At 34.2% G+C, this 26443-nt stretch overlaps 2 protein-coding genes and 1 pseudogene across 27 annotated transcripts in view; 1 reads left to right on the forward strand and 2 right to left on the reverse strand.

The window, feature by feature from the left end:
• The window catches only part of LRRN3 (leucine rich repeat neuronal 3), a 34328-nt gene extending 16821 nt beyond the window's left edge, over positions 1-17507 (forward strand). For all 3 annotated transcript variants that reach the window (NM_001099660.2, NM_001099658.2, NM_018334.5), the window contains one exon: positions 14468-17507. In NM_001099660.2, the coding sequence (NP_001093130.1) occupies positions 14826-16952 (2127 nt within the window). In that variant the 5' untranslated portion in view covers positions 14468-14825 and the 3' untranslated portion in view covers positions 16953-17507. The remainder of the gene's footprint in view (positions 1-14467) is intronic.
• The window catches only part of IMMP2L (inner mitochondrial membrane peptidase subunit 2), an 899849-nt gene that overhangs the window by 445304 nt on the left and 428102 nt on the right, over positions 1-26443 (reverse strand). Inside the window, exon 4 of one of the 24 annotated variants that reach the window (XM_024446960.2) lies at positions 603-3891. The exons of the other annotated variants lie outside the window; for them this stretch is intronic. Coding sequence (XP_024302728.1) covers positions 3846-3891 — 46 coding nt within the window. The 3' untranslated portion in view covers positions 603-3845. Of the gene's footprint in view, positions 1-602; positions 3892-26443 lie in introns of those variants that run through there. 24 annotated transcript variants of the gene reach the window in all.
• LOC124901853 (uncharacterized) lies at positions 1321-1410 on the reverse strand (annotated as a pseudogene).

Consider the following 26443-nt stretch of genomic DNA (forward strand, 5'->3'; position numbering starts at 1 on the left):
ATATTTCCCAGTCTCAACTTACAGCAGATATTGTCTTGATTTGCATCAACTTTTTCTTAACCGAGTATATATGGCTTTCTTTACAATACTGTTTTTGTTTTTATTGTTGTTGTTGTTGTTTTCTCCTAAAGTACAGTGTCTTCTGTAAGTGTCACTTTCTAGTGCAGATTCTTAACCCCAGTCTGGGTTTGGAGACAAAAACCTCACAGATTGTTGATGTATTCCATTTGATCACTATCAGCTGGCAACAAGCATGGTCTGGCCTGCAGCCACATCAAACCAATTTTCTAGAGGACTTTTCTCAGTACTTAACACTCAATTATATTAATGTTTATTATTGCTCTTTTTGTTGTTGATACAGCTTTTTACATTAATTCTGAAAGTCTGTGGCACTTTCAATCATTAAGAATACATTTTAACCTAAATTACATGGTTTTCTATGTTCTCCAAATACAAATGTCACAAATTTTAAGAAACTAATCTGTATATATTATACCCCCACTACACTGTGCTATTACTAGAGATATAATATATAAAAATCAATTGAAAACTATATCTCAAGTAAAAAAGATATACGAACAAAACATACATATCTCCATTAGTTTCCTCACAACAGATTTATTCGAGATATAATGAGAGTAGACATTGGCTTAGAAGAAATTTATGATTCTTTTTAAACAATCACAGATTTAATTATACCCTTCTAAAGTGGGTATTGTTACACTTTTGTAATCTCCTGAATTTAAAAAAAACATATTTATTTCTGTTTGCCAAGCTTACATCATCACTCAATAGTTCATGCATACAAACCACATGAGTCAATTCAGCATTCACCAACAAAACAAAGGTCACAAATGAGTACCTCGTACAGCAAATTTTTTTAAATGTATAATAAGATGGAAATTTATAATTAAAAGCAACTGATATTCATTCATTCATTCAGTAGATATTTATTGAACAACAATAGCAGGCAATATTCTAGCTAGGCATTGGAGATCCATAGCTCTGAATAAAACGGAAACAACTTTAATAAAGCTAACATTCTAGTGGAGATGATGGGAAGTAAGCAATAAACAAAAAGCAAATAATTTCTAGCAGTCTTAAATGATCTATAAAGAAAACAACATGGTGAGAATAAGAATGACTTTAGGGGATATTTTAAGTAAGGTGGTCCGTAAATAAGGTATTATCAAGAAGAATTAAAGACCAAATTAAAGAACAAACATCTAGAATGTGTAAAACATTTTCAGTACAATTTAACATGTTCATTGCCAGCTACATGATAAACCATTAACTTTCCTTCCATAATTAAGTTTTTTTTTTCAAGTCAGGTTTCCAAGGTATGACGGAGGCACATCTCATACAAGAGCAAGAAAACCCAATCATCATGCTTACGAACTACAAAAGCATCTTAATTAAGTTTTAAAAGAAAGTATCATTTAATTTCACTGTGCAAAGAAGACAAGTCAGCACACAAGTATAGGCTTACTCAGTGAGTAAGACATAGGTCTAGACATGAAGGTGTTTCATTAACAACTAGTAAGGGGGCAATCAAGTACATATATATCTGCGACACAAAGCTTTATTACACAGAGCTCACAGGAAGAGACCTGAAAATGGAGTCAAGGACCTGGAATAGAGTTCAGGAGCCATCACTGATAATGCCCCTTCAACTTTCACCACCTCATGAAATCTCTCTGAGTTATCACCTGTAAAGTGGGTATAACTGCACATGCTGACAGGATTATTAGGGGAATCAGATAAGGTCATATATGAAAATTGAACTGAATTTGTACATTGTAGCACAATATGACTGTGACTACTATCGCTGTTTTCATTGTTTGTTGCTATTGTTATATGATGGAAAACTGAAGTTAATGGAAAGGGCCCTTAAAAAGTCTTCAGGGGCTGGGCGCGGTGGCTCATGCCTGTAATTCCAGCACTTTGGGAGGCCAAGGTGGGCGGATCACAAGGTCAGGAGTTCAAGACCGGCCTGATCAATATGGTGAAACACTGTGTCTATTAAAATTACAAAAGTTAGCCAGGCATGATGGATGAACACCTGTAGTCCAAGCTACTCAGGAGGCTGAGGCAGGAGAATCGCTTGAACCCAGGAGGTGGAGGTTGCAGTAAGCTGAGATCACGCCACTGCACTCCAGCCTAGGCAACACAGTGAGACTCTGTCTCAAAAAATAAAGTCTTTAGGATCTGAACTATACTAAAATATGCAAAGATAAGTAAAGCATCAAAGATCCTATCTGTTCATGGATATTAGACATGAAGACATCATTAGGGAAAATGATATTCTTTTTCAAATCTTTGTTTCTCCACACAATTGATAGGAATCAGTCATTAAAGAAAACCTCAAAACTAATATTTTTCAAGTCCATATTCATTATTATGACAAAGTTTAATTATGCTTCTCATATATTTAGAATAGCTTTTATTCACTGAAATAATATCTTATCTTCCAAGAAAACATAAACAATACCAGGAATGATCACAAATATAGATTATATCTTACTAACCAGTGTCATGAATTAGAATTAACAGAAATCATGAAAAAGTTTTATTCGTTTTTCAGTTTGGATGTTGAGCTCCAAGCCCAAAATGGTTTAGCATAAACTTTACTACATAACTGTCTTGAAGAATATATATAAAAACATAAGTATAAATATCAAACATATAAGTATAGAATACAAATAACTTAAAGTTCAAAGAATGTTTCTACATATATGAAATTAATGTTGAGTAATTCTTGACTGAGCAATGTGAACTATTTCTGCAGTAGACATTACTGATATTAATTTAATACCAGTTATTTAATTATAAATTTCCTTCACAAAATAATTTTGTCTTGGCATATTGGAACAGTAAAGTTAGGTGAATGTCCCAGATCAAATTTAAGGGATTCCAGATCTTAAATCATGTGACTGTGAAGGGAAAATTTCTTCTCCTAACTCAGATCCAATAATCTAACACTATTCATTTTATCCATAAAAATGTATTAAATCCTAACCTGTGAAGCTGCTATAACATAATATAAAACCATTTGCTTTTCTGAGCCTAAACTGATAGTCTGAAACATAATCCTAAATTATCTGGAAAGAGTTTATCTACTAAGAAATTTTCCCAAACAGGTGATTTGTCACTTAGCTTTCACCTAATCCACATATGAGATGAATACCAGGCTTCTAAGAGTGAAATGAATGCAAATTTATAACCCTGTTTTGAAAGAACTCTTTTTCTCCATTAAGATTTAGAACTCCCTTTGGTGCTCTAGTCATGTACAACCTTGCAAAAAGACGCTTATGTGGGCATATCGCCCATGCTCTTCATGGGTAGCAGTTGTAAAAAAAAAAAAAAAAAAAAAAAGTTAATGTTAGCAAGGGCCTACATTGCCCATTAACAAAAATTAAAATTTGGTAGGCATCACAAATTACACTGCTTTCCATCCCCCCCCAAAAAAAAATGGCCCGTTAGTATTTTTACTTCCCCCGCCCTTAATTTTAGCCCTCTCTATTCAACACATAAGGCAAAATGTATTTCATTTACTATGCCACTCTTTTGGGGGATCTCATATTTCCCAAATGTTCATAACCTGATATAGACTAGTCCTTAAATGGTATAGTAGTCAAATATTATAAACACATTAAAGTAGAATTCACCATAAAGCTCTTACGAACAGAAATAATGTGAATCAACTAATGTCCCCCCCTGCGTCAATAGTAATTTTAAATGAATTCAAGGGGGTTGTAGGCAACCAAATTTTGCAAAGTCATCTACATAAAGTAGTCCTACATAATTAGCTTCAAGTAAAGAGTTATTGTGAGGCTTCTATAAAGTTAAGTGACTGAACTCCATCCTGGGCGACAAAAGGAGACCTTGTCTCTGAAAAAGAAAAAATACATGCCTTTAAGTTAAGTTAGGTGACAGGAAAAAGGAAATGCAAAACTTTATTTATATATTTTATTTATATATATATATATAGTTTGTTTTTTTTTTTTTTTTTTTTTTTGAGATGGAGTCTTGCTCTGTCTCCCAGGCTGGAGTGCAGTGGTGCGATCTCGGCTCACTGCAACCTCTGCCTCCTGGGTTCCGGTGATTCTCCTGTCTCAGCCTCCCGAGTAGCTGGGTTTACAGGCGCATGCCACCACACCCGGCTAATTTTTGTATTTTTAGTAGAGACGGAGTATTTTTAGCAGAGACTGGGTTTCGCCATGTTGGCTGGTCTTGAACTCCTGACCTCAGGTATATCCGCCTGACTTCGCCTCCCAAAGTGCTGGGATTACAGGCATGAGCCACCACTCCTGGCCCTGAAAATGAAAAACTTTAACCTGCATATAGTGCCTTTAATTTCCACACAGGAACTAAATGACAAAGCTTCACTGACCTAGCATACATCAAGAACTTTAACTCTGTCTGTCACTTCGTACTTCAGAGTGCCACCAAGTCATCTCATATTAACCATTTAACACGAGTGTTAGGGAAAGAGCTCATGTCCTGTACAGTAATGAATTTCCACTCACAAAAAGATGCACAAACATGCACACAGCCATAAATATGGCCTCCATGTCTTGGTTGAAACTCAAAGCCATAATTCAGGAAGTTTTTTCAAAGCTTACAGTGGAATGTATGTTGTTCTATTTTTAAAACTTTTTTGTATCCTCTGGACACAAATATAGCAATGTTGTTTAAAGCAGATTGTCAGGAATTTAAGCAGGAAACAAACCACAGAGCATGAGGGAAATCTGACACACTTTTGAAAAGAAAATAGACAAACAATCCCATGCTTATTATAGGGAACTAAAAATACAGCCCACATCGCTATTATCGTCTTCCTTAGGTATAGTAACAGAAAAGCACCATCCAACTCTGAACTCATGGCAGGCATCAGCTAACCCCAGCACACCCGAAAATGTGGTGCTATAATTTAGTCTCTTGTTTATTGCATTTGAAAAAATTCTTTCAAACTGAAGGAGCTAATTTTATTTCCTTTCTTTCAACGTATGTTTTATCTTCTCAATTCTTAGTAAAAACGTAAAACACTGATATTAGTGTTGTTTTATTTAATAGCAATGAGAACCATATTTTATTATATGCAGAACAGAAAGTGAACTACCCAGAAACCTTCTACTCTGAGTTCCTTCAGAGTAATGTTCCCCTCCAAAATATAATTTTAAGATTTCTGTAATAATATTGTAACTAAAATGTTCTTCATTCTCTATCTATACTAGGTCATTGGACTCTTGTCCACAGGCTTCCTTACCTTCTTTACAAACCAGTGACTTTCTATTCTGTCAAACTGAGTTAATCAAGGAATACAAATGAGTTGAAAACCTTTTTGCTGCCATCCTTTTACAGCATATCTATGCTTCAAAACCATCCCTCCTGAGATTGATAAAAGCATTTACTTATGGCAATCAATATAGAATAGTCTTTTTTTTTTGTATACATGTCTATCATGTCCTCCCATGTATAAGGCCCTAGAGAGTAGTGCTTGCAAGATCAGAAAGCATAAGGCAGCATACTTGTGCCTGTTCATAAAATCAACTCAAGCTGCAATCACTTCATTTATTTTTTTCTTTTAACTATACCAGGGAGATGGACAGTCTTCATGTGACATAAAGAATGGAGACTTCAAAGACAGGATATTTGGCTATCTTCCAATAAAAAAATGACTTAAAAATTGTTTAAATTATCTGGATAATTACCCCAAATGTTTTCATCTGAAATGCAGGATAATTGAAAGAGGGTCTACATGAGACACACATTTCCCAAACCATTGTACTGCAAGGCACAATGTAAGTCTGTCTCCTGTCATTCAAGCAGGGGAATTTCCAAATCTAGTTGGAAATTCCTTTGAAGATAAAAGGATGACATCATTTACCAGTCATACTACCACACTAACTTCTCAAATAAACTGGAACTAAATCATAAGAATGAGCTTTTAGAGACCAAAACTTACGAGAGAATAAGGAAAGCATATTTGGGCAGACTTTTCCTCTCAATTTATGTGAAATGTGTAAAATACAAATTAAGGCCTAATTAAATCCCTCTAAATATCTATTGATAGAAATAAAGAGTGGACAAAATGGGAAATTTTAATGCATAAATTTAGTCAGTCACATTCAAAATTTTCTGAACAGAACTGAAGTCTCTCAACATACACATACACATAAATCTACACACACACACACACACACACACACACATTTTTGCCAGGAAAACAATGATTTCTCTTACAAGTGTATATAAATTACTCCTGACATACAAATGTTTAAAATTCTTCAAATTTTTCATGAATTTGTACAGCTCCTAAGGATCTTTTTATAGACTACTTCTGATGTAAATGAAATTAGCACCTTGTCTATCTCTATGCCACTGTTTGACAGACACATAAAACGTGAATAAGCATGAAAAACTAAAAATATCATAAAATCTCTGAGTAAATCCTATCGGTATCCATCCAAGTACATTGTATTAAGTTTGCACAAAGAAATATATTGGCTGGGCACAGTGACCCACACCTGTAATCCCAGCACTTTGTGAGTTCAAGGAGGGCAGATCATTAGGTCAGGAGTTTGAGACCAGCCTGGCCAACATGGTGAAACCCCATCTGTACTAAAAATACAAACATTCGCTGGGTGTGGTGGCAGGTGCCTGTAATCCCAGCCACTTGGGAGGCTGAGGCAGGAGAATTGTTTGAACCCAGGAGGTGGAGGGTGCAGTGAGTGAGCCGAGATCGCACCACTGCCCTCTAGCCTGGGCAACAGGCGAGACTCCATCTCAAAAAAAAAAAAAAAGAAAGAAAGAAAAAAAAAGAAATACATTGAAACCATTTTGAGAATATTTAAGGGTTACTACAAAAATTATATAATAATAGAATTTGAAGGTGATTTTTATTTTAGAAATGAAGTCACTAAAGGTCACGAGGTCTCCTCCTAACTCCCGGGTCTGCATACTTACACAATAGCCTACTGTTAAAGTGCTGGTAATTTTACAGACAGGCATCACCCAAATAGAGATCTCTAGTTTAATTATAACCTGAAGCAAATTTTCCATCACTATGGAAAACAAGATGATTATACTTCAATCTAAGATGAGTGAATATTAAGGATAATGAATAAATGAGTGTTTTTCCCAGAGAGACCTACATTTGGGACCATATAAATGCTAAATAACAAGGTAAATAAAAGAGAGGTTAAAAAGGCAAATCAGGCAATCAAACTCCATTGGCTCTCAAACAATATTGAATAATGTACTGTTATGACATATTGTAAATTAGAATTCCCCAGTATATGGTGTGATGCTTATAGGAAAAAATATAAGCATCAAGAGACAAGTTATGACTTAAAATTATCATTTGTTTTACTAATCATGTACAAAAGTCAACTTCACAAATAATGCTATTAATGAAGTGCTCAGTTGAGCAAAATCAATAATTAAATATAACTACAAATCAGAATTTTCATAAAAAATGACAGTATCATGACAAGCTGGTAATTTATGAGTATACAGAAATGACTACCCCAATATGAAATGTGCCTGTGATTAAGATTTCATCCCCCCCTCTGTAAAAGAAAATTATAAAGAGAGATTTCTGTACTGTAAACTACCCTTTCTAAATTATAGCTGTACTATAACTAGATTCCACAAATTGGACGTATTAGGGTGAGACATTTGCAATTATTTTTTATTTTTATTATTTATTTTTATATATTTATATATATTTCTTAGACAGACTCACACTCTGTCGCTCAGGCTAGAGTGCAGCTGGCACCATCTGGGCTCACTGCAGCCACCGCCTCCCAGGTTCCAGCGATTCTCGTGCCTCAGCCTCCCGAGTAGCTGGGACTAGAGATGTGCACCACCAACTCTAGCACACCTGGCTAATTTTTGTATTTTTACTAGAGACTGGGTTTCACTATGTTGACCAGGCTGGTCTCAAACTCCTGGCCTTAGGTGATCCACCCAACTCAGCCTCCCAAAGGGCTGGGATTACAGGCATGAGCCACCACATCCGGCCGGAATTATTGTTTAAAGAAAACTATCCCCATGTAGCACAAGCCTCAATTCTAAAAACAAGAGAAGAAAAAAGATAAAACATCCAAGATTCTCTCAAATCTGCCCAAAGCATATCTTGAGACTCAGGAGAGAGAATTGTGCTATTTAAGTTACTACTGGTTTCTCTGAGAGAACTTTATTACAAGGCCTATATTGTCATCTAAAGGACTCATCTGAGCCCTATATCCAGAGGAATGGAAACAGCACATGATTTGTTTATGATCTGCATTAATGCTTGCTGGGTAAAAATAAAAGTTCTTAAACATGACAAGGACATAAAATAAAATTGCCCCTCCTTTTAAAAAAATCTATAGTTATTTCTATAATGATAATAAGAGGATTTTTGCCAGTTTGAAAATCTCAAAATATCAGATTTGAGAATCTGAAAATATCAGAATCCACTCTAAAACCACTCTAAAAGACAGCATCCATTAAATATATGGGTATACATGACATACATTTTACTATATAAATTTTGAACAATAACAAAAATAATTTTTCTCTAATAAACAAATTTCTTTATAATGGCAATCCCACACAAAATCTCTACAATTTCACAGGACATTAACAATCAACTTGAAAACAAGAGTAAAAATTTAGTGCATATTTTGTGAGAAACTAAGATTCAGAGAGCGATGTGATTACTCTCACATAGCAAAACTAGGCCTAGAAAACAGTTTTTATTTTATTCCTTCCACAATACTCAACTGCCTTATAATTTCATCTGAGTGAAACTTTATTATCAAAGGAAGAGAAACACCCAACAATAATAACAAAAAAGGCAGTGCACCTATACAGTTGGAGGAAACACCTTTCTGAGAAGATACCAAGGTGTGTGGTGCTGTTTTAAAAATAAACATTTGAGAGAAAGTAGAACTTAGTGGTTAAGACTGAGCTTTAGAGGCAAAATGAAGGAATTTGAATTCACATCTGAATTTAGATGAAGTGCTCTAATCGAGGCAATTTACTTCCTACTGGTTAGTCTGCCTTAATTTAATGATTAAAGTAACTCTCTAGTTTGTTTACTACTGTGTAGATAAAAAGATAAAATAGAAATAATGGCAGGTAACTAATTTGATAGTCTTTAAAAGCCCCATAATGACTAAAATTCACTGATCCTAAATTTGTTAATGGCATGGGACTAGAGTATTGAATATAAACTTGTAATCAATTAAAAAACACAAAGGTTAAAATCAGATAAGTGAGTTTACACACATTCAATTGTTAGACACCTTTGGAAAAAATCTTTGATGTTCACAGAATAGTATCATGTAAGTTTGGGATGTGAAAGAATCTTACAACTCATGCAACCAAATTTCTAAATTATAGAGATCAATAATCTGAGGTACAAGAAAGTGAGGTATCCTGTCCCCAGTTACAAAATCATCCAGTAAACCTGGCCCATGTTTCTTAATGCAAAACAAATTTTCTTTCGGTGTATCAATTTCTCATTGACATCAGTTTTTAAGGATAGCATTCATTAAGCTATTCTAAATAATTACCATTATCCATTTCCTGAGAGTTGTCATATAAATTCAAATAATTTGTTTTGAAAAACTGGAAAAGAAATATTTCCCAAGGAAAATAGAACAGTCTTTTACAAGGATGCATTTAGTATAATTCAACAATACCTCTGGGATATGGAACCTTCAATTAGAACTAAAGAAAGATCAAGTCTTACAACAAGGGAATATGAAGTTAGATAGTGGGAGAATAGAATTTAAGTTCTTTATACAAATGAACTTAGCCAGCAATTTGCTATAGAAGAAAAGGAAAAACTGGGTTTTAATGTACCCATGGCAATTTTTTTCTTCACCAATTTTTCAACTTAAGTATCAAAATGTTTCTTTTCCTCACACTCTGTAGTCTTTATAATACACATAATAAAGTGCAAAGAAGAAGGCACACTTTGTTCTTAAGCTTTAGCATTGCAAAAACTCATCTAAAAGACAGTGGATTTTAAATCTTCTTACTCACATGTCCTCACTATACCCCAGCTGATTTTTCATAAGTATCACAAAAGACCACAGAACATTCATGTTGCTCCTTTTGGAGGAACAGAATTAAGCATTCTCTCCTTTGTGCATCCACAGAGCATTGCACACATTTTTATTGTAAATCAAATCTACTGTGCATCATTGTCCTCAGCTATTTACTCCTTTGATAACTGAAAACTTGGTGAGCAGATATTTTATCTTATTTATTGCTGACTTTCCAGTGTCTATGATAATGCCTGCCAAAAAGTAGGTGTTGGATCAATATTTCATAAATGATGAAAAACAGATAAAGAAGCTAAAGAATAAAGATCTCTTTACTAAGGAAAAGTAGCTTTATCCATAAAAGCTTCTACATATAATTATACCAAGAAACAATCTGTATTTTCACATAAAGAAATCTCAAATTATAAGTGTCCACAGGAATTGGATATATAAGATATGAGAATTCTTACAATTGTTTGATTTTAACGGCCTAAACTAGGTTTTAATCCCACCCCACCATTTATTTGTTGTGTGGTATCAGGCAGATGGGTCTCAATAACCTTACATTAAAAAGTGGAGATTAATGTACCTCACCAACCTATCTCACAAGTTCATTAATATTAAATTAATAATGAATAAGAAAAGGCTTTGAAAACTATAAAGCACTAAGAAGATACTATTATTACTTACTTATTATCCTGCAAATAGCCCATACTAAATAGCATATTAATGAAATATCATAATCATTTCCACAGACTTAAGAAAAAGTCAATATTATGCTAAAGAAACGATAAATTTCTATATTCTCTATTGTGTTTCCCATACTATTGCTTCCTACAGACCAGGAGAAACAACATTTGAATATGCTCACCACTATAAACACTCTCATTTGCAAAAGCTTTCAGAAGAAATCTAATTCAAAATGTGGTTGTTTCTAGCATATGGCTATGTAAATGATGAAATAAGAAAACATTTTCTAATTAAACACAAATATAAATTTTAAGACACCCACCAGGATAATTTCAAAAAGTGGCATTATATTAAGACTCCCCCAGAAAGAATGCCTCATCTTTAATATTTCCAAACCTCTAGTTAACTTAAAGAAGGATATAGGTACCTCTCTGCTCTGCTGGAGAAAGCAGACCTAACGAATTAATTGACAGAAGTAATGGTTTCTCCATTCTCAGCTAAGTGATTTATGGAAACATACAGAAATGCAATTGGACTTTGTACCTAGGTTTTTCCTTCATTCTGGACATACAGGGGCAATAGATTTCTATTTTCATTTTATTCGGAGGGGTATATGCTCCCAAATGAGCATGCATACGGAATTGTAACCATCTGTTTACTTCTGTTTCCCCTCCAGACTGAAATTTTACTAAAGAAATCAACCATATCTAAGTCATCTGTTTTCCCTCTAGCTATTAACCCAGTAATTGGCATGTAGAAAGTGCTCAATAAATGTTGACTGGATAAATTGAAGAATAAAGCACAGATATAATAGATTAACTTTTCTCTTAAAGTCTAACATTCCTTTGTATTAGCCTGAATTTTAATCTCTGGATTTTAGTAATATATGTAACACAAATTTGATGTTAGTAAATACTTATACACATTAAAACAGATTTACTGAAATTAGAAATTAAGCAGATAGAATTACTTAAGTAACATGTAAAAGGATGCATACAGGATTCTACTAATACAATTCATTTATCAGTTCATTCAAAACATTTCTTGAGCACATACTACATTATAATGATAATGCCCAGAAGATAGGATGCAAAGCCAGGCAGGCCTCACGCTCTCAAGGAGGTTAGTGCCTGGTGAAGGAAAGGATCAAGGAAATGCCTGACAGAAACAAGTGCTGGAGCCATGGGACCACTGTGAAGGGGCAGCTAAGTACATGTGGAGGGAGGGGTTATATGAAAGTCTTGTATGAAAGACTTCCCAGAGGGGAGATTCTTGAACTGAGGTTTGAAAAGACAGTAAAACATAATTTAAAACAAAGAAAGAAGTATTCCAGGCAGAGTGATGCAACCATAGCTCTACCAATAGGGAGAAGGTTGCCTGCAGGAAAATGGCAGACGGTGAGGTAAACATAGAAGGATCTCCATATATCAAATTTGCAACTTGGTGTTGGAAATGATTATATTTCAAAGACACTGGTATAGATTTAAAAGAAAAATATCTAGGTCTTTGTGTTACTGATTGCATTAATCCGTTCTCATGCTGCTAATAGAGACATATCCAAGACTGAGTAATTTACAAAGAAAAAGAGATTTAATGGACTCACAGCTCCACATGGCTGGAAAGGCCTCACAATCATGGCAGATGGCAAAAGGCACATCTTACATTTAGGCAGGCAAGAGAGAATGAGACTCAAGCAAAAGACATTTCCCCTATAAAAACATCAGATCTCCTGAGACTTATTTCACTACCATGAGCATGGGGGAAACTGCCCCCATGATTTAATTATCTCCCACCAGGTCCCTCCCACAACACATGGGAATTATCGGAGCTACAATTCAAGATGAGATTTGGGCGGGGACACAGCCAAACCATATCAGTGATGTAATAAAATTGTTTTTTCATTGTTAGTAATGGAAGGTAAGTTATTCTCAGGGAAAAATAAAACAGCCAAATGTTAATCTTGTGAACTTTAGTTACGAATGATAACACACAGGTACATCTACAGCAAGTTAAACTTAATCTTCTCTGAATACTGCAAAACTCAAGTCACTTTATGCAAAGGAGACTATGGAGAGAAGTATGAATGAAAATGGGAAACAGCTAATACCACTACATCTAGCTTACTTAACATTTTATAATTTTTGTCTCTAAATCCTGTCTCCTGGGAACCTGTTGAATCGCAATCTAACTCATTTGGTTGTAAGTGAACAGTATTATTCATTTATTGGCCTTTTATGTTGCCTCTCTAACAGGCAAAAAAAAAAAGCCATGAACAGTTGAAAGATTTAAAAGTTGTTTTCCTTTTTTCCCTATAACTAAATTTCAAAGCTAATGAAAATATAACAAATAAAATTACAAGGTATAAACAAGCAAAGATTTGAAATAACAGAAAACTTCTGGAAACACATTCATTAAAATAATAAATGTTTAACCTTTTAACGATTAAATTTCTCAGCCTGCCCAATGCCTAGGCCAAGAATTATCAAGGACATATCCTTCGCCCACTTTTTGATGGGGTTGTTTGTTTTTTTCTTGTAAATTTGTTTGAGTTCATTGTAGATTCTGGATATTAGCTGTCTGTCAGATGAGTAGATTGCAAAAATTTTCTCCCATTCTGTAGGTTGCCTGTTCGCTCTGATGGTAGTTTCTTTTGCTGTGCAGAAGCTCTTTAGTTTAATTAGATCCCATTTGTCAATTTTGGCTTTTGTTGCCATTGCTTTTGGTGTTTTAGACATGGATATGAACAGACAATTCTCAAAAGAAGACATTTATGCAGCCAAAAGACACATGAAAAAATGATCATCATCACTGGCCATCAGAGAAATGCAAATCAAAACCACAATGAGATACCATCTCACACCAGTTAGAATGGCAATCATTAAAAAGTCAGGAAACAACAGCTGCTAGAGAGGATGTGGAGAAATAGGAACACTTTTACACTGTTGGTGGGGCTGTAAACTAGTTCAACCATTGTAGAAGACAGTGTGGCGATTCCTCGGGGATCTAGAACTAGAAATACCATTTGACCCAGCCAACCCATTACTGGGTATATACCCAAAGGACTAAAACATGCTGATATAAAGACACATGCACACGTATGTTTATTGCAGCAGTATTCACAATAGCAAAGACTTGGAACCAACCCAAATGTCCAACAATGATAAACTGGATTAAGAAAATGTGGCAAATATACACCATGGAATACTATGCAGCCATAAAAAATGATGAGTTCATGTCCTTTGTAGGGACATGGATGAAGCTGGAAATCATCATTCTCAGCAAACTATCGCAAGGACAAAAAAACCAAACACCACATGTTCTCACTCATAGTTGGGAACTGAACAATGAGAACACATGGACACAGGAAGGGGAACATCACACACCGGGGCCTGTTGTGGGGTGGGGGGAGGGATAGCATTAGGAGATATACCTAATGTTAAATGACGAGTTAATGGGTGCAGCACACCAACATGGCACATGTATACATATGTAACAAACCTGCACGTTGTGCACATGTACCCTAAAACTTAAAGTATAATAAAAAAAAAGAATTATCAAGGACAGTCATGAAAAAGATAAAGTCACCAAACATACTGAAGTACTTAAACTCTAAGAATATAATTTATACATGAAATAATTATAATTAGGTAATGAATATCAATTATGGTATTTTTCATTTGTACTAATTATTGTTCTCTTTTTTCTTTCATATTTCATTTTATTACATTTAGCATCATGCTGCTATTCCTGCAAATACTGAAGAAGCATGGGATTTAAATATTTTACTTCTAAATAAATGAATTACTCAATCTCCTATGACCATCTATACATACTCCACCTTCAAAAAGTACATCAATATTATATCATTAAGGAAATAGTAACCTTCTCTTCTCCAATATGCATGACATTTTTGGACAATGCAATTGTGGCACTGGCACTTATTTCAGTGAAGAAAAACTTTGTGGTTCTATGGCATTCATCATTTGACAAATGCAAGCATCTTCCTTATCAATCAGCTCCTATTGAACTTACTAGCACTGACTGTGGAATCCTTAAGGGCCCATTACATTTCTGAAGAAGAAAGCTAAGATGAAGGACATGCCACTCCGAATTCATGTGCTACTTGGCCTAGCTATCACTACACTAGTACAAGCTGTAGATAAAAAAGTGGATTGTCCACGGTTATGTACGTGTGAAATCAGGCCTTGGTTTACACCCAGATCCATTTATATGGAAGCATCTACAGTGGATTGTAATGATTTAGGTCTTTTAACTTTCCCAGCCAGATTGCCAGCTAACACACAGATTCTTCTCCTACAGACTAACAATATTGCAAAAATTGAATACTCCACAGACTTTCCAGTAAACCTTACTGGCCTGGATTTATCTCAAAACAATTTATCTTCAGTCACCAATATTAATGTAAAAAAGATGCCTCAGCTCCTTTCTGTGTACCTAGAGGAAAACAAACTTACTGAACTGCCTGAAAAATGTCTGTCCGAACTGAGCAACTTACAAGAACTCTATATTAATCACAACTTGCTTTCTACAATTTCACCTGGAGCCTTTATTGGCCTACATAATCTTCTTCGACTTCATCTCAATTCAAATAGATTGCAGATGATCAACAGTAAGTGGTTTGATGCTCTTCCAAATCTAGAGATTCTGATGATTGGGGAAAATCCAATTATCAGAATCAAAGACATGAACTTTAAGCCTCTTATCAATCTTCGCAGCCTGGTTATAGCTGGTATAAACCTCACAGAAATACCAGATAACGCCTTGGTTGGACTGGAAAACTTAGAAAGCATCTCTTTTTACGATAACAGGCTTATTAAAGTACCCCATGTTGCTCTTCAAAAAGTTGTAAATCTCAAATTTTTGGATCTAAATAAAAATCCTATTAATAGAATACGAAGGGGTGATTTTAGCAATATGCTACACTTAAAAGAGTTGGGGATAAATAATATGCCTGAGCTGATTTCCATCGATAGTCTTGCTGTGGATAACCTGCCAGATTTAAGAAAAATAGAAGCTACTAACAACCCTAGATTGTCTTACATTCACCCCAATGCATTTTTCAGACTCCCCAAGCTGGAATCACTCATGCTGAACAGCAATGCTCTCAGTGCCCTGTACCATGGTACCATTGAGTCTCTGCCAAACCTCAAGGAAATCAGCATACACAGTAACCCCATCAGGTGTGACTGTGTCATCCGTTGGATGAACATGAACAAAACCAACATTCGATTCATGGAGCCAGATTCACTGTTTTGCGTGGACCCACCTGAATTCCAAGGTCAGAATGTTCGGCAAGTGCATTTCAGGGACATGATGGAAATTTGTCTCCCTCTTATAGCTCCTGAGAGCTTTCCTTCTAATCTAAATGTAGAAGCTGGGAGCTATGTTTCCTTTCACTGTAGAGCTACTGCAGAACCACAGCCTGAAATCTACTGGATAACACCTTCTGGTCAAAAACTCTTGCCTAATACCCTGACAGACAAGTTCTATGTCCATTCTGAGGGAACACTAGATATAAATGGCGTAACTCCCAAAGAAGGGGGTTTATATACTTGTATAGCAACTAACCTAGTTGGCGCTGACTTGAAGTCTGTTATGATCAAAGTGGATGGATCTTTTCCACAAGATAACAATGGCTCTTTGAATATTAAAATAAGAGATATTCAGGCCAATTCAGTTTTGGTGTCCTGGAAAGCAAGTTCTAAAATTCTCAAATCTAGTGTTAAATGGACAGCCTTTGTCAAGACTGAAAATTCTCATGCTGCGCAAAGTGCTCGAATACCATCTGATGTCAAGGTATATAATCTTACTCATCTGAATCCATCAACTGAGTATAAAATTTGTATTGATATTCCCACCATCTATCAGAAAAACAGAAAAAAATGTGTAAATGTCACCACCAAAGGTTTGCACCCTGATCAAAAAGAGTATGAAAAGAATAATACCACAACACTTATGGCCTGTCTTGGAGGCCTTCTGGGGATTATTGGTGTGATATGTCTTATCAGCTGCCTCTCTCCAGAAATGAACTGTGATGGTGGACACAGCTATGTGAGGAATTACTTACAGAAACCAACCTTTGCATTAGGTGAGCTTTATCCTCCTCTGATAAATCTCTGGGAAGCAGGAAAAGAAAAAAGTACATCACTGAAAGTAAAAGCAACTGTTATAGGTTTACCAACAAATATGTCCTAAAAACCACCAAGGAAACCTACTCCAAAAATGAACAAAAAAAAAAAAAGCGAAAGACTGCAGTTGTGCTAAAAACAAAACAAAACAAACAAACAAACAAAAAAGTAAAAAAAGATTACTTTCGAGAGAGAAGTTTAAGCTTCACCAATGCTGCTCCTGACCAATGGAAATATGTACAACTTCAGCATTTTAAGTAACTGGCTTCAAGGGGTACTGTGGCAACCAAATAAAATAACTCCATTTTCTAAAACTTTCATGTAACTTTTATGTCTGGACTACAGTTCAAGTGGACAAAAACATTTCTGTATTTTTTTTAAGTAAATAAGAGTAGTTGAACTGAGCAATACCTCCTCCTGTGTTGTATTACACATATTAGCCACGAGTTTTTGCAGTGACCAGATAAACTTGAATTGACACGTGGTGTAATAAAATGGACAAATTCTGTAGAGTAGACACAGTGAGTATGTGGACCTCTTTTATAAGGAAAAATACATTTTGGATTAAAATCAATTGCTTCTGTCTTGTTTTGTTTCTAAATAAAGAATAATTTCTGGGAAATATCATCTGATCAGATATCATTTAAATGATAAAGTTTTTAAAAGGTGTTTTTCTATAATGAAATTTGGAATGCTAAGAGTAAGACACTTTTCTTGGGTGATGGGACTACCTACATTTTTATAAAGCCTCAAATATGGATTTCAGAAAGCATTTAATCAATATTAAATAGCAATCATAATTTGTATTTAACCCTTTAACTATTGACAGAAACTCTAGGAAATTATGTATTCACTTAAGGATTTTTTTAACAAGTAGCTTTTGGAGTAGATTAAATTATTAGGTTGAGATAATATAAATTCAGTATCTGGGCAACATAAAGTCTTATTTTAATAATTAGCAGTAGCTTAGTTTTAGGCCGCTTGCTTTTTTTTTTTTTTTTTTTTTTTGAGATGGAGTCTCCCTCTGTTGCTCAGGCAGGAGTGCAGTGGCAAAACCTAGGCTCACTGCAGACTCCGCTTCCCAGGTTCAAGCAATTCTCCTGCCTCAACCTCCAGAGTAGCTGGGATTACAGGCAGGTGACTACATCTCCGGCTAATTTTTGTATTTTTAGTAGAGAAAAAGTTTTGCCATATTGGCCAGGCTGCTCTCGAACTCCTGGCCTCATATGATCTGCCCACCTCGGTGCCCCAAAGTATTGGGATTACAGGCATGAGCCACCACGCCAGGTCTAGGCTGCTTGCTTTGCAGAAACTATTGCCAAATTTCATTATGACTTATGCTCTAGGTATAATTTTCAAATCTCTCTCTGATTCAAAACAGTTAAGGAGCTTCACTGAAGTAACAAGCAAATAACTTAATAATTTACTATATTGAAACATGGCAAGGAAACAACATGTTTCAGTCCAACACTAAGATTTTAAAATTACACCATAAAACATATAGCATTAGTAGTAGAAGTTTAACAGGTTCGACTTTCTGAAATTTCTTTTATTTAGCTCACTCCAATATAAAAATGACACAATTCAGATACTTTCAGAGTTTGACACAAATTTAAGAGGAATGATGTTAACTAAAGGAAAAGCTTCTGAAACTATTTTAAAGTAAAAGAAACAATTAAGAATTTAATTTTTTAGTCCAGTCCTCTAAAAATATATTTAAGGCACTGGAAACCCACAGCTTAAAAGATTACAAATCATTGAATTGAAGTGCCAAGTACATTAGTAGTCATTTAAAAATCTTATATAGGGAATATACGGATTTCACTTAAAAAAAAAGAGAATTAAGATTTTTGAGGATTTCAGTCATTTTTACAAACAAACCCCCACAGTCCTGCAAAAATAGAAGTATTTTTGTACAAAGCAAACATTCTGAGACAATAAAATACCACAGTTTTTATAGGCAAATTGTTTATCTCTCAAAGTTACAAAGCTTTCATGTTAATTGCTACTGTGTCTGCTCATAAGCAACTTTTAACTTTTCTTACAATAGCTTTCTGCATAATATCAACATCTCACTGGCCTATAAACATTTCCAGCACTGTAGTCATATCAATTTATTTGTTAATATTAGACATTTATTTTGTGATAGCATGGACAGTTTCCAGTTAAATCCTAGCTGTTTTTGACAATGTGGAAGGCAATTGTTAAGAATTTCTTAAAACAAGAGGGTAAATTGAGTTGATTTTAACACAACCAAAATATGAAACTTGCTAATTCAACGTGTTTCTCAAACACAAATTTTACAACCCGATGAATCACTATCACACAGAGGCTGACGTTAGAATTTATCAGCCAGACATGCTCATACATCATGAGAGGTTTCAGCACCACAAACAGAGCTTTACAGAGCTCAGCTATTTGTCAAAAACATAGGAGCCAAAATACAACCTATTAGGAGGCAGGCATAGTATAGGTCAGTAACAACTTGAGCATGTACCTTGTATGTTTCTTTGAAACCTATCTGCCTGAAGAAGTATTACAAACATATCATAGCACTGGGAATTCATTTTAATCTACATATTTCTTTTAAAGTTTGTTAAGAAATATGCATTCTGAATAGACATCTAGTAGTGAGCATTAAAATGAAGTATTTCTGTTACAACCAAAAATATACAGATGCTCAAGGCAAATCATGAACCTACTGATTTGCTTAAATTTTAATATAAATTTCCAGTGAGAGAGAAAAGACATCTGCTTCAATGAGAATGGTGTTTCATACTCTCTCTGTTACCTCTTAATCCTCACATAAAACTAAGCATTGGTCAAAGTACTCAAACCATTTAACTTACAATTTTGTGATATGATATGGATGTTCTTGTTGCAAAACACAACTTTACCTATAACAAATAAAACGCTAAAGTTTATAGCTGTATGAATGCTACCTAATCTGCTCACCTTGTATGGAGAAAAACACCTTGGCACAAAAATAATTTTTGAAGAATTACATATTTTATAATTGATACTACAAAATAAAATTAAGATTTTCTAACAATAAGCATACCCAATTGAATACAAAAATATATAAAAACAGTGCAAAACAAAATATGTATTTTATAATGTATATAATTGTCAGTAAAGCTAAGCAGCAACAGGTTGGCAGACATATGCTAACCATTTCACCAAGAAAGAAATGAAACAGATTTATGGTACATATACTAGTCATTTAATACTTATTTTAGTGTTAAAGTTTTTATTCTAATTAGACAAAAAGTTTTTAAGTAAAACTACACACAAACATAAGTTTAAAACAATTCCTTAGTTTATTCATTTAATTATCTTTTGTTTATATTCAATAAACATTTATTGTATGGCTATTAGTCACAGGAAAAAGAGAAATAAATAGGACAAATTTTCGACCATCTAAAACTTATATTCTACTAGATTATATTCTGGTTTATTTTCTTTATCAGTGTTTTCACAAATACATGTTAACTGTGTAATTTGGTAAAGTCCCAGCCTTAATCATTCATACTTTCACAAAATGATAATGCTCAGAAAAAATACAAGGTTTTTTTCTTGGTCTAAAATGTTTTACTCATCACAATTTTGATGTAAAAGCTTGCTTCAAATGTAATATTGATTTTATTCACTATATCTGCAGAAACTAGCCTAATAGTATTCTTTAGACTGGCTAAATTAAGAGGCATATTTAGGCTGAGTGTGATGGCTCAAGCCGGTAATCCCAACACTATGGGAGGCTTAGGTGAGTGGATCACAAGGTCAAGAGATCAAGACCATCCTGGCCAACATGGTGAAACTCCGTCTCTACTAAAAATACAAAAATTAGCTGGGTGTGGTGGTGAATGCCTGTAGTCCCAGCTACTCGGGGGCCTGAGGCAGGAGAATCGCTTGAATCTGGGAGGCGGAGGTTGCAGTGAGCCAAGATCACACCACTGCATGCCACGCTGGCAACAGAGTGAGACTCCGTCTCAAAAAAAAGAGGCATATTTAGTTACCATAAATTATTTCTATGCATAAAACATGGATACCTGTTATGTGACCCCTATTTCAAACTCAAAGAGAAAATGAGAAGTGAATTTCAAAAAGGTTTATCTAGCATAGACAAAATGTCTACATATCTTTACAAGGAGGAGAACCAACTTACTCTATCCACATTAACCCTTACAAGATGTTCCAATAACTACAAAGCATAGTCTTAAAATTTCAGAGATTAACATTTTAGATGAAAAATCCAAAATGTGTCAGAAGCTACTAAAGCAAACAATAAAAACAACTAAAAAGTTTAAAAGTATGCATGTATTAAGGAGTGAAAAAATCTCAATAACATATCTCACAGCCATCAAAAATATGAGGAAATAATTCTAATTATATATGTCACCATTCACAGTATCTTGGGCTTCATCACAATGCTGATTTTCTAGGAGATAGGGAGTAATTAATAGTAACTAAATTGTGGCTATATTTTCTTTGATCCAACCTTTTTCCTCAAGTTTCCCACGACATTATAGCAAATAAGTAAAAATTTTTGTGAAGAATATAGTTGTCACCATTATATTTACTATATTATATGTTATATATATTATTACCATTATATATTACTATATTTAAGGGTCCCAAAAGGATATTTTGCAATCAATTAAACAGAAAAGACTACAATGATCTTCTCTTTCAGATGCTAATATTTTCACTACAGCTTTGCTTCTATATATCATTTTACCCTAACGAATGCATTGCTAACTAGGTCGTTGCTTGGGAGAACTACAGCGTTGTACTGGAATGCCACATCTAGAAACAGCTACAATCAGTATCATGGAGTTTTGGGAAAAGACAGAACTGACTCCAGTTTTCACACAATAGTGACTACTTTTATCTGTTCATTTGAAAAGTAAGGACTTGAGTGTTAAGAGTGACCATGGCCTAGATTTACGTTATTCTTCTAAAGGAAAATGAAAATATTATTTTTACAGAGGAGCAAAGTGCAAAATCAGAGTTAATATTAACAGTCATAAAACATATATCCAATTATAAGAAAAATTATTAAGAGAAAAAACTTTTAAAAAGAATATTACAGCAGAATATAGATTATTTCCAAAATTTGGCCTAAACATTTCATTTACAATATACACAGAAGGCTCATGAATTGAGTAGTATGCATTTAGTATTCTCAAGTGAGAAGACATCATATGAAACAGAACATGATTCCTTTTTGTTCATACTAAAAAGAGACAAGCCTACAGAGATTTGAATTTACCTATTCTAGTTCACTGTATATACATCTCAGAAGGCTCCTAGCTCATCTTTGAAATAAGCCATAGAGCATATACCAACGAAGGGTGTAAATAACTCACAGATATGTCAATACGACTTTTTCTTAGGAGCAAACTGAAGAATTCAAATAAGTGATAAATTCAAAGCTAGTATCATACACAATTTCAAAATTATTGAGAAGTGGCCCAGAGTAACAGCATAGCAAAAAGAATTGTGGTTGACCTTAGTAAGCCTTTTAGAAGGATGAGCTACAACGACATTTGGAGACCTCACAGTACTTTGTGTGTTTATATTTACCTTTTCTAACTCTACTACATCACCAAGAAACTAATAGTATGATGTGACCATTGTAAAGAAAATCCAGCTTCTCATTAAAATATATGGTTCAGTGTCTGAAGTTATTGATTCAAAATCCAACTGTGATACTCCTTAGTAATGTTTACCAGACTCTGGAACAAATAATGGAGTGAGCTTGGAACATAAATTAACCCTCTTAATCCTCACATTGAGAGAATCAGGCTGTAATAAAATAACCTCCCTGTCATTTGTGGTACTAGACTCAAGGCTGGTAAAGACAGAAATAGTTCTTAAACCAACAGAGGTATCATTATTAAAGCAATATAGCTAAACACACCCAAATGGTCTTTCAAAAGAATACGATATAAAATTGAAATTCATTATCAGAACTGGGATTAAGGTCAGATACCTCTAGTAAACATCTCTTTAATAATGGTTTCAGAGAAGAGTCACCTATTCAATAAAAAACAAGAAATCATGTCTCCAAAACAACTTTAAAGCTCTTACCTTCCTATCCCTATTTCCTAGTAAATTAATCAATGAAACAAAATTCTAGTACAGAACTTTCATATTAAATCACTTATTTTTTCAAGATTTTAAAAAAAATTACATATAAAATGCATGAATTCATATAAGTATATGATGCTAACAAGTCAATTCAAACCTTTGAGTGTAAAAAAATTTCTTCTAACCACGGATATGGCATATATAAAATGCATTTTAAAAGTAGAAAAAAAAAGATTCATTTCTTTCTACAAACAATATATTTTCCACACAAATCAATAGGAATTAAGTGATTGCAGTGAAAAAAAAAATGAACCACAACAAAAATAACTGTGTGAGGCTAAAGGGAATTAGGTTTTCCTTCCAGTGGATTATGTGTGCCACAGTCCAGGCTCAGTCCTAAAGTGACAGTGCAACGCTTGAGATATTCTGTTGACGCATGCATAGAAAATAATAAATATATTATTAACATATTATGTTTGGATAAACATGCATTTATATTTACTTGAGTAGAAAGATTACAAATTAAGAAGGAAGGAAAAAGGAAAGGAAGAAAAGAAGGAAACATTCACTAAATTGTGAATATGTGCCAGATTAACAATTTGCTGTGCTCTTAGGAAATCCACTTCAGATCTAAAGAAGAGGTGTGGGAAAATGAACATTTGCCATCTTACAATATGACAGGCATGCTGATAGACAGGCCTGCACATCTCTTTCTGTACATGTATAATGTAATATATATTACATATAAATGTGTATAATACATTACATAATTACAACCCAATTTATGTGATCCTCATGAAATTTCTTTGAGTTCAGCATTAACATTCCAATTTATATATCAGTCTCAGAGAAGTATTTAAGTATTTTTCCCCAAGAAAACATACGAACTATATATTCATATAGTTAATATGAATGCATATTAACTGTAACAAAAATAATAACATAGAGCAAAAAAATAAAAAACCAAATGACTCAACACCAAGAGAAATAATAACAGGAACTTTATAAGCATGCCATAACTCACAACAATAACTAATAGGTGATTTTTTGGAGAGGGAACAATCCATCAATAGTACATTAGATTCATTAATTGTTCCTATTATCTTCTAACTCTCCCCATCAGTATGTTCTTTTATAATATTCCTATCTCAGTTTCGCATCAGAAAATGGGGATAAAGAGTCTTTATTTGTCAAATTGCAGTTACTACTTATTTGCCAAACACAAAGAACACTAGTTTATCAAGAAAGGAAAACCTATGCATATTCTTATAAATAAAACCTTTAAAATAGGAATATACATGAAGTTCCAAGTAGATGGAAGGCTAGGGACTTTTAAAAGAATTTTTCTGCAATTATTTCCATGCATCTACTTCACATTCCCAATCTATAAAGCTCTTCTCTTTCTCAGTCCATTACAGGAAAATACAGAATGGTCAATTATGTTTAACCTGCTTGCCAACTCTCCGATTACACTTATCATGCACAATAACTCAATCTTAGAAGGTACATCCTGCATAAAAAGTGAAGTTTGAGAAGACAGAAACTTCTCTTCAACATTTTCATCCTTGTGAGTACTGACACTATAGGCATGGGAAACTCAGAACACCACATCAACACCAACAGCTTAGAGAGTCAGATGTCATTGTGAGCTGATAATGCTTAGCTTTGTTGACTGACGTGTAATCTATTGCAAATCTTGGGTTCTTAGGAGTTCTACTTTATAAATTGTATAATGTAGTTCAAGAGAACAAAATTATTTATTATAGTTTAGATGACAGGGATTGCATATTGATAAAAGAGGTAGCAAAAAGTTTAAATAAAAACTGGACACCATCAAACTTATCTGTGTGATTAAAATCTATAGCTACCCATAGAGGAAGGTGATCATCTATATGTCTGAGTGAAAGAAAGAAGGTGGTTCTTTAAAAGACTTTCTTAGGTTAATGAGATTCTATGGAATTAAATTGACATGCAGAAATATTTTCATGTATAAAGAAGCTCCTCAGTATTCAACGAGTACTAAAGTCACTATGTTGACCTATGTTCTCATCCCAAATGATATGGCCAAGCTTAGTTGTTGTTACTGTTGTTATTTTAATGAGTCATTTGTGTGTTAGTGCTCCTTCCAAGGATCAGGTCTAATAGTAGCAAGGTTTCTAAGCAGGGAAGCAAGGAGTGGCCCATGCTTTATTCACACACCATTTATTGAAGATCTACTGTGTACCAGACAAAATATTAGCTACTAGAGATTCAACATTGACTGCAATAGACAAATCTCCTGACATCCTAAAACTGAGAGTGAAAAGGTAAATACCAACAAATGAATCTGGCAATTGCAATTCAGGGAAACAAAAGTATGATAGGCAGAGGGACGATTACACATATTTGGGGGGAGTACAACATTCTCAGTTACTGTAACGTAGTCCAGAGAGGCTTCTAATTCAGAGCTAAGACAATCTTTATACAATATCCCAATTAGAGGGCAGAGAAATGTTAAGGTAGATTAGGGATGGCATGAAGATACTAATAGGCTGAAAATTTTTAGTAATGACAGAGTGCTAGGCAACTGGGAGAAAGTTCTGAAGGACAAAGCAGGAGCTGGCTTCAGAAAGAAAAATCAGGAGGTGGGTAAAAATCAAACTTCATTTTGTGCTAACCATGTTAGAAACCAATATCCTAGGAAAAAAATGACTATGCCAAATTTAAAAGACCAGAATTAATTTATAAGGGTACAAAGATTCGTTTGTCATATTTCAATCCTAACTCCCTATGTAGTCTAGCACCCAGCTTCCTCCAGAGGTAGAAATATGAGAAGACGTGGGAAATAAAAGACAAAAGAAAATAGACATAGGCACACTCTATACTCCACCCTCTTAAACCTTCCCTAATCTGAAATCACACATACTCAAAAGCCTCATAAGCGTACTCTCAGAAACAAACACCCTTTATCTTCAGTTATTATAGTCCAGTATTTGATTGATATCTAATTTCAGATATTTTAAAAATACATCTCCTATGAAATTCGTAGATGGCCAAAATGTCACTCCAGCTTTCTACTGTCTCCCCAAAGGACAAATAAAGGAAAGAGAGCCTAAGTATTCTGGGTAATTTTGTATATAGAAGCCCAAATGTAATGTAAAATTGTGATTGATGTCTTTGATTTTAAGATTGACCTAGTTCTGTTTCCACTGTCAATTGTATTTCTTTTTCAGAAATTTCACAAATATGTTACATAGAGTTTAATGAGTATATAAACAGATATAGGAAAAACCAAAAAAAGTACTGTGTCTAATTTCCTTAGACTATATTTTGTATAATACCAGACATACTTCTAACTACCTAGATTTTTATATCACTTTCTTCAGATAATATTTTTAAAATCTTCTCTATTATGTTTCCAATTGGAACGTTGAACTCAAAACTTAAAGAAAGAGTATTTGTAGATGTACTGATCCACATAAATCA

The sequence above is a fragment of the Homo sapiens genome, chromosome 7, assembly GCF_000001405.40.
Source record: "Homo sapiens chromosome 7, GRCh38.p14 Primary Assembly".
Taxonomy (NCBI): Eukaryota; Metazoa; Chordata; class Mammalia; order Primates; family Hominidae; genus Homo; species Homo sapiens.